The 9,878-nt window shown below is 40.2% G+C and overlaps 1 annotated feature.

Annotated features, from left to right (window-relative positions):
• Nucleotides 402-600: a silencer, noted in NCBI's record as "fragment chr17:21532008-21532206 (GRCh37/hg19 assembly coordinates)". NCBI's record gives its function as "represses an EF-1alpha promoter that drives an FKBP-Casp9 reporter gene in an ReSE screen in phorbol 12-myristate 13-acetate-treated (for megakaryocytic differentiation) K562 erythroleukemia cells {active_cell/tissue: K562(+PMA)}" and the evidence as "EXISTENCE:reporter gene assay evidence [ECO:0000049][PMID:32094911]".

Raw genomic sequence — 9,878 nt, forward strand, 5'->3', positions numbered from 1 at the left:
TTAGAAATATCCTACACATACATACACTCAAACTTTTTCCCCTATGTAAATGGTGGCATACTAGAAACACACTGTTCTGTATCTTGCTTTTATTACTTAATACATCTTGGTTGGCCTGGCGCGGTGGCTCACACCTGTAATCCCAGCACTTTGGGAGGCTGAGGCGGGTGGATCATGAGGTCAGGAGATCAAGATCATCCTGGCTAACACAGTGAAACCCCGTCTCTATTAAAAATACAAAAAAGTTAGCCAGGCATGGTGGCGGGTGCCTGTAGTCCCAGCTACTCAGGAGGCTGAGGTGGGGAGAATGGCATGAACCCAGGAGGCAGAGCTTGCAGTGAGCCGAGATCACATCACCAACCTCCAGCCTGGGCGACAGAGGGAGGCTCCGTCCCCCCAACAACAAAAAAATACATCTTGGCAATTATTCTCATGCAACTTTGGTTCTTTCTATTGCTAAAGAGTATTTCACTATATGGGCCAGGCGTGGTGGCTCACGCCTGTAATCCCAGCACTTTGGGAGGTTAAGGCAGGTGGATCACCTGAGGTCGAGAGTTCGAGACCAGCCTGACCAACAAGCTGAAACCCCGTCTCTATTGAAAATACAAAAATTAGCCAGGCATGGTGGCACATGCCTGTAATCCCAGCTACTCGAGAGGCTGAGGAAGGATAATTGCTTGAACCCGGGAGGCAAAGGTTGCGGTGAGCCGAAATCATGCCATTGCACTCCAGCCTGGGCAACAAGAATGAAACTCTGTCCAAAAACAAGAGTATTTCACTATATGAACGTTCATGCATTTTGTAAAAGTTTTCCAACTAATTCTGATCTGCTGTCCTAAAACATGCTTTAAGTGATCTATCTCTGTGCTCTCCTCCCAACTCAGACATCCCAAATAAATAAAGCTATAAATGGAATGCAGAGGCAAAAAAAAAAAAAAAAAGAAAAGATTTTAACCCAGGGTCATCCCATTTTTTTCTAACAGTGGCCTAAATGATTAGAAACCCATGAGGTACAATTTTTTAATGCACATTGTTTAACTTTCAGCTATGGTGAGTCTTGAGTTCAACAATTACACTCAATGTCACTCAAAGTCACAAGTTAAGTGACTTCTCCATTTTTTCCCTCATCTCAGTAATCCTTCCTGTTGTCCTAGTTTTGTGGTATGACTTTAATGAAGTTTAACTTTATTATCTCAAAAAAAAAAACAAAAAAGTCAGTTTTATTTAAAAGTACTATTCGCCCAATACAGAAGGGGAAAAAAAAAAAAAAAACACTAGCAAATTCAGGAAATTAGCCCCTACTGGCATACAAATTTACAGGTCAAAGCAAGCCCTTCCTTTCCTCACATGAACTGCAGCCTGGAGACCACTACAACCTCCTTCCTCAAAACTTATCCACGAGATACAGGGCAACAGTGCTCAGATCTTGTTTTTTAACCAGAAGGTTTTCCTCAAAAGTCTTAAATGAAAGCTAAATGTACAAAAGGTACAATGGAGAAACATTCTGATCTAGTGAGAATGGGAGACCTAGGATTCATCTTTTCAGTCTCCCCCTGCCCTTCCCCATCCCTCCCTCCACCCTTCACTTCAGTCCTGGCTCACTAAGATACCTCGGCAGAATACTTTACATTTGAAACCCACTGAAATGAAAGAATCTAAAGTTCAGACTGAAGGGGAAGGGAGCACCTTAAGTGGCAGTATCAAATTATAATTTCAGTTCTTAGCACCAAAACTCATTAACTCAGGGTAGTTACATGGTTGACTCATGAACCAAAAAAATTCTATGAATTGTTTAAGAAATATGATCAAGATTTTATAAGCAACTTCCTCATCTCTTAAATATCAACATATAATGTTTTAGGATGAGAATAATATAGTAATAATTATGTCACTGTCATAAAAGACAATAGCACTTCTAACTGAATTATACAGATAAACCCAGAACTAGCCTCTTACATATTGCAAACAGGTAATACCATATTGCAAAATGAAATTGATCTATTTAAGTTCCTTTTTAAATCTTCTCATATTAAATAAACACACACATATTTACTCAACAGGAAAATCTTGCAACAACAGAATTTCAAATACTATCCTGCCAAAAAACAAGCAATTTTTCCTCTCAGCAGGAACTCCTGGCTTTTGGCCCACAACCTTTGCATAAACAAAATGTGTTATGCAAAGGTGTTCAAGGTGGCCTAAGCCATCTTGGAAAAAAAGCTAAAAATGGCCGGGCACAGTGGCTCACGCCTGTTATCCCAGCACTTTGGGAGGCCAAGGCCGGCAGATCACAAGGTCAGGAAATCAAGACCATCCTGGCCAACATGGTGAAACTCCATCTCTACTAAAATACAAAAAAAAATTAGCCGGACATGGTGGTGCACACCTGTAGTCCCAGCTACTCGGGAGACTGAGGCAGGGGAATCGCTTGAATCCAGGAAGCAGAGGTTGTAGTGAGCTGGCATCGTGCCACCGCACTCCAGCTTGACAACAGAGCGAGACTCCATCTCAAAAAAAAAAAAAAAGCTAAAAATATACTTCACTGTGGCAGGACCGCAGATGCCACTTCAGATGAGCAAGAATGAATCCACCAAGCGTCACAATAGAGGTGAAGCCTACATTTCACCAAAGCAGAAAAAGGATCCTACAAAACATGCAATTTTTAACTGATAAAATAATAAAACCTCCTGATACAAAAGTATGTGATAGGGCAATGCCTCTATGACATTCAAATGCTAAAATATTAGTTATTAAACTGAAGCAAATTAGGTCACACCAGTTCCCACAAAGCTGTCCAGCTCTAGACCAATTTTAAAAGTATGTTAGGCAAGACAAGGCTAAGAAGGACCACCACCCTGGGCATCCCGACACCTAAAATCCTCCAACCTGGGGATAATTTAAAGAAAGCTGACCTCCTAAACTTATTACAGAGTCCAGCATCCAGGAGAGGAAAGACTAGAAATTATCTAAGTGAATTCTGTAATTTGTACAAGACCAGAGTGGTGCTATACTGGAATAAATTTTCTCCTGTAAAATAAACTAAAGCATTCTTCCCTTTGAGGGGAAAAAAAGCTACTGCTTCTCAGACTTTTGGTTAAGATCTAACCTGGGGGAATGCCATTGACAAGGTATTTTATTTGCAGCCTCTTCTGACATCATGACATCTTACTTAAAGACAGAGAAACAAATGGAAGCTAAAGAAAAAGCTTTTTAGTTAACCTATCCTACCTCTTATAAAGTATGATATTGAAAGAAAAATTTTAATAAGGATACAATTATTTGATAAATCTATGGGTACACATATTCAATAAGTAATTCTGGCCAGGCACAGTGGCTTATGCCTGTAATCCCAACACTTTGGGAGGCCGAGGCAAGTGGATCACTAGAAGCCAGGAGTTTGAGACCAGCCTGGCCAAAAAGGCGAAACCCCTTCTACGCTAAAAATACAAAAACTAACCGGGCGTGGTGGCACATGTCTGTAATCCCAGCTACTCAGGAGACTGAGCATGAGAATCACTTGAACTCAGGAGGTAGAGGTTGCAGTGAGACAAGATCGTGCCACTGCACTCCAGCCTGAGCAACAGAACAAGACTCTATTTCAAAAAATAATAAATACATAATTCTTAAATGAAAGAAAAATGATGCTACTTTACCTCTACATAAAGTGCTGTCCCAAGACAGGAGTACAATGTAACAATATCCAACTGAGAACTCTGTGTTATGTCGGCACTACACTGAACTAATTCTCTGAACTGAACAACACTCACTCACTCAACTTACAAGAACAAATATATTTCAAAACCAGCCAAGCACAGTGGCTCACGTCTCTAATCCCAGCACTTTGGGAAGCAGAAGAAGGTGGATCACTTGAGGTCAGGAGTTCAAGACCAGTCTGGCCAACCTGGTGAAACCTTGTCTCTACTAAAAATACAAAAAATATGGCTGGGCATGGTGGCTCACACCTGTCATCCCAGCACTTTGGGAGGCTGAGGCGGGAGGATCACGAGGTCAAGAGTTCAAGACCAGCCTGACCAACATGTGAAACCCCATCTCTACTAAAAATACAAAAATTAGCCGGGCATAGTGGCGTGCGCCTGTAATCCCAGCTACTTGGGAGGCTGGGGCAGGAGATTCACTTGGACCTGGGAGGCAGAGGTTGCAGTGAGCAGAGATCACACCACTGCATTCCAGCCTGGGTGACAGGGTGAGACTCCATCTCAAAAAAAAAAAAAATACAAAAAATTAGCCAGGCGTGGTGGTGCACACCTGTAATCCCACTACTCAGGAAGCTGAGGCATGAGAATCACTTGAACCTGGGAGGCAGAGGTTGCAGTGATCCGAAATCGCACCCCTGCACTCCAGGCTGACCAACAGAGCAAGACTTCATCTCAAAACAAACAAACAAAACAAGAACAAATAAATTTCACAAGCAAAATGGATGACTACATGCCAATTCCCTCCTTGATTAACACAAAAGAAGAACAAAGAAATTAAGATAAGAAAAATTTTAATGTAGATATTTGGCCTGAATTAATAGATATAACAATATCTAAGTGGATAGTACTAAAAGAGTTACCATTTATTGAGCTCTAGATATATACTAGGCAGTGTGCTAAGACTTGGTGTGTGCATGAGCTCACCTAAAAGTCTGGTTCCACTATTAGCTCTAAGGCTGTAGGGAAGCTGCATAACCTCCTCAAGCTATGTTTTTCTAACTCAGAGACAGATACCTTAAAGATCATCTGCTGCTGCCTCCCCTTTGACCCACTAACAGAGACTACAGGTTATTAAGCAATATAAATCAAGGGTTATGAACAGACTCTGCTTTTTGCTGCACCCCCCTCAACACCCCCGAGCTCCACAAATCTTAAAGTCAAATGCTCTTAGCCTACTTTATTTTGGTACACACCTTAGAAACAAACAGAACTATCAAACGCCTGCGAAGGCAAATATCAGCTCTGTTCTGCTCTACACGGCCTCTGCAGCAGCTAGCAGTACTTAGCTCTCAGTAGCACCCACTCCAACAGCAAGTTGTTTGGCTGTTCCTTACACACACACACACACACACACACACACACACACGCACAGACTCTGAAGCTTCCCAGGCCTCTCCATCTAACTACCACCCTCCTTACCTCTTGCTGCAAAAACTCCTAACTGGGCTTCCCACTTCAATACTTTCTCAACTCAAAAAGCCAAGTGTTCTTTTTAAACCTTAAATCGGAACATGTCACTCTCCTGCTTCAGATTCCCCAAGGATTTCCTACGCACTGCAAATAAAGTCTCAACTACTTACGATGACCCAAGGCCCTACTTGATTTGGCCTGCTTACTTTCTAGATTGCTCACTAGGCCCCAGCAACATGAGTTTCCTTTCAGTTTCTTTAGGAGCCCTTCTCTGCCAGGTCCTTCCTAGCTGGGCCTTCGTCCTTCTTTACTCTCTGCCAGGAACGCTGTTCCTGGCTCATTCAGGTGGCTAGCTCCTCCTCAAACTTAAGGTCTCAGTTCAAATGTCATCTCAGAAGAGTCTTTCCAACCATCCTACATATAAGGTAAGTTCCCACGAGTTACTCTCAATCACATCACCCTTTTGGTTCCTTTACAGGTCTATCATAATCTGAAATGGATTACGTACTTCATTTTATTTGAGTATATTCTGTCTTCTCTCACTAGAATAAAAACTACCTGTTTGATTCTCTATAATATTTGTTGAATAAAATAAACAAACTCCCATTCATGGGTCTGATATTTTTTAAAATAAATAAACAAGAAATATACAAGACTTATTTGTACAGGACTTATTTGAAGCAAAGTTTGAAAATCTACTGAGAGACATAAAAATCTATTAGAACACAGGACAGTAAGTACATAAAGATGTCAATTTCCCCAAACTTCACCTACAATTTCAGTATTCCCAATCAATATTCAGTATGTAATAAAAATCTCTATGATTTCTTTTTGAATGTCACAGAATGATTCTAAAGTTCATCTAGAAGAACACATAGACCAGAAATGTCAAAGTCTGAAAAAAAAGAGTAATGAACAGGTAACTAACCCCATCTGTATTAAAATTATAAAATGATAGTAATTTAAAGTGTATGGTAATACACAAGAGACCAAAATAACAAGACCAATCAGAAATAGTCCCAAACACATTTAGTAAATGACAAAAGCTGCAATTCTAATAGTGGGGCAAAAAACAGATTATTCACTAAATGGTGCTGACACAACTAGCTAGTTGGGGTAGAATTCACACACAATTTTATCCCCCAAAATATGTCTCACTTCTTATACCAGAAGTAAATTCCAGATGGATCAAAGAATTAGAAGTTTTAAAAAGAGAAGGAAAAGGAAAAAAAGAAACCATTGAAGTATTAAATACAATCTGGGGACTTCTTTGTTTTAAAAATACAAAAACGCATGCAGTTAAAAAGTCTTCCTCTCACTCATTCTTCTTACTATGACAACCAATGTTTCCAAGTATCATATATCCTGTGATATACAAGCAAAAATGTATACGTTGTTTTTCATCTTTAAAGCAAAGACACATAGAGGCATATAATGTTCCTCACTTTGTTTTTCTAGTTTAGTAGATAGGCGAATATTTTATGTTTTGGAGCAAGGAAAGTCTTAAGTAGAGCACAAAACACAAAAGTCACATAAATAAATTAACAAGAGTCACAGCTAACATTTATTATTTACTTACTTTGTGCCATCCACTATGCCTAATGCTATTTACATTATCTCCATTTTACAAACAAGGAAATGAAGGTGTACAGAGGTTAAATAATGTGCCCACGTTCCCACAGCAGCACAGTGCTGGGTTTGGATTTATCTGACTACATAACATTACAAAAGAATAGCTAGGGGGATATGTGCACACGTATGAAAAAAGTGAATAAAGCCAGGCACGTTGGCTCACGCCTGTAATCCCAACAACACTTTGGGAGGCCTAGGCAGGCAGATCACCTGAAGTCGGGAGTTTCAGACCAGCCTGACCAACATGGAGAAACCCCACGTCTAGTAAAAAAACAAAATTAGCCAGGCATGGTGGCGCAGGCCTGTAACCCCAGCTACTCAGGAGGCTGAGGCAGGAGAATCACTTGAACCCGGGAGGCGGAGGTTGAGGTGAGCTGAAATCACGCCATTGCAGTCTAGCCTGGGCAACAAGAGCAAAACTCTGTCTCAAAAAAAAAAAAAAAAGAAAAGAAAAGAAAAAGAAAGAAAAAAAGTGAATATGTAGAGAACTTTTAACCTGTTAAAAACCAGTAGCCCCATCAGAAAATAAACAAAGAGCAAAAGTAGGCAATTTATAAAAGACATATGGCCAAGCGCAGTGACGCACACCTGTAATCCCAGCCTTCAGGAGGCTGAGGTGGGTGGATCACCTGAGGTCAGGAGTACAAGACCAGCCTGACTAACATGGTGAAATCCCATCTCTACTAAATACATAAATTAGCTGGGAGTGGTGGCAGATGCCTGTAATCCCAGCTACTTGGGAGGCTGAGGCAGGAGAATCGCTTGAACATGGGAGGCGGAGTTTGCAGTGAGCCGAGATCCTGCCACTGCACTCCAGCCTGGGTAACAAGAGCGAGTCTCTGTCTTAAAAAAAAAAAAAAAAAAAAAAGGCCAGGTGCGGTGGCTTACGTCTGTAATCCCCAGCACTTTGGGAGGCCAAGGTGGGTAGATCACCTGAGGTTGAGAGTTTGAGACCAGCCTGGCCAATATGGAGAAACCCCATGTCTACTAAAAATATAAAATTAGCCAGGAGTGGTGGTGCATGCCTATAATCCCAGCTACTAGGGAGGATGAGGCAGGAGAATTGCTTGAACCCAGGATTCAGAGGTTGCAGTGAGCTGAGATCAAGCCATTGCACTCTAGCCTGGACAACAAGAGCAACACTCCGTTTCAAAAAAAAAAAAAAAAAAGAAAGAAAGAAAGAAATACAACTCTCTCCATATTAAAAAAAGTTCAGCCTCAATAGTGATTGATAAAACACCAATCAGAATCACATTTTTTCAGTTCCTAAATTGTCAAAATGTTTTAAACTGTAATATCTAGTATTGGCCAGGGTATGGGGCATACCTGAATACTATTGGTAGCTTTACAAATTGGTACAACAACCATTTGGAAGGAAAATGTATAAATATCTATCCATATCTACATTATTCACATCTTTTGATTTGAATTCAAATCAAAAGTGGAGTTGATTTCAGCAACTCCACTTATAGGAATCTATCCTACAAAGCTGTTTGTACAAATACACAAGATACATATACATATGTACATGTGCATAAATATTCATACACACACACACAATTGTTTACAGCTTTGTTTTTCTGGCAGAAAAAAAAATCCAGTGACCATAAGTTGATTAAGCAAATTATGGTATTTTCTTTTTTTTTGTTTGAAACAGAGTCTCACTCTGTCGCCCAGGCTGGAATTCAGTGGCATGGCTCACTGCAATCTCCTCCTCCCAGTTTCAAGTGATTCTCCTGCCTCAGCCTCCCAAGTAGCTGGGATTACAGGCACATGCCACCATGCCTTGCTAATTTTTGTATTTTTAGTAGAAATGGAGTTTCACCATGTTGGCCAGGCTGGTCTTGAACTCCTGACCTCCGGTGATCCAGCCACCTCAGCCTCCCAAAGTACTGGGACAACAGGAGTGAGTCACCGTGCCTGGCAAATTATGGTATTTTCATGTACTAGAAATGAGTTATTAAGTTGCTGTTAATGATTGATAAAGGTAACTCGGAAATAAATAGACAAACTTGGAACAGTAGTATACAAAAGAATAGTATATTATGATTCCATAATATAGAAAACTATACAAACACAGAAAAAAAACTGGAAGAATATGCAACAAACGCAGTAGATTACATCCAGGAAGTGGTTCTTTCAATTTCAGTATATATAAAAAATAATGTATTACTTATAATTAGTGAAAGATAAGATTTTAAAATAGCATATCCTCCTTCATGCATTAAAATGATTTTATGTGAATATAAAGTAACTTCTTTCTCCCCCCTCAACAGGATGTTTATACTCCTACATCAGGTATATTAACGTTCTGCATATTTTAGGTTATAACTCCTAGATAGCATAAGTTTTGATTTCATTCCAAATACCTCCAAATACATAAAAGTTATTCTAATTAAAAATGAATTTAAAAATCTTAAAAGTAATGCAAAGTTAAACATCTTTGAACAGAAACTCAAAGTCATGATGATGACTACTTAAACATTTTCAAAGTTACATAAATCTCTATGTTATTGCCAAGGGAAATGAATTGCCTAAAACAAATTACTCTGAATGCGAACAGTGTATGACAGTGATAATGGCAAGAAGAATGTCTGTCAGTTCAACCAAGAATGGGGTAAAGGGGCAATCTATAAGCATAAAGGTGACTCTCATCATAAATCTGAGTCGAATTTTCCTAGAAAAATGTAACCTTCGCCAGGTGCGGTGGCTCACTCCTGTAATCCCAGCACTTTGGGAGGCCAAGGCAGGCAGATCACGAGGTCAGGAGATCAAGACCATCCTGGCTAACATGGTGAAACCCTGTCTCTACTAAAAATAGAAAAAATTAGCCAGGCATGGTGGCGGGCACCTGTAGTCCCAGCTACTCTGGAGGCTGAGGCAGGAGAATGGCGTGAACCTGGGAGGTGGAGCTTGCAGTGAGCCGAGACCATGCCACTGCACTCCAGCCTGGGTGAGAGCGAGACTCCGTCTCAAAAAAAAAATAAGAAAGGAAAGAAAAATATAACCTCAATATATTTGGTTTTGATATCAGTTTATTCGTGTATAACAAAGAATAAAAACAGCCAAACAGCCCAAATTTTGTTCCTCGAGTACGCTGTAATGGGGGAAAGAAATCCA

Source organism: Homo sapiens, chromosome 17 (assembly GCF_000001405.40).
Source record: "Homo sapiens chromosome 17, GRCh38.p14 Primary Assembly".
Lineage (NCBI taxonomy): Eukaryota > Metazoa > Chordata > Mammalia > Primates > Hominidae > Homo > Homo sapiens.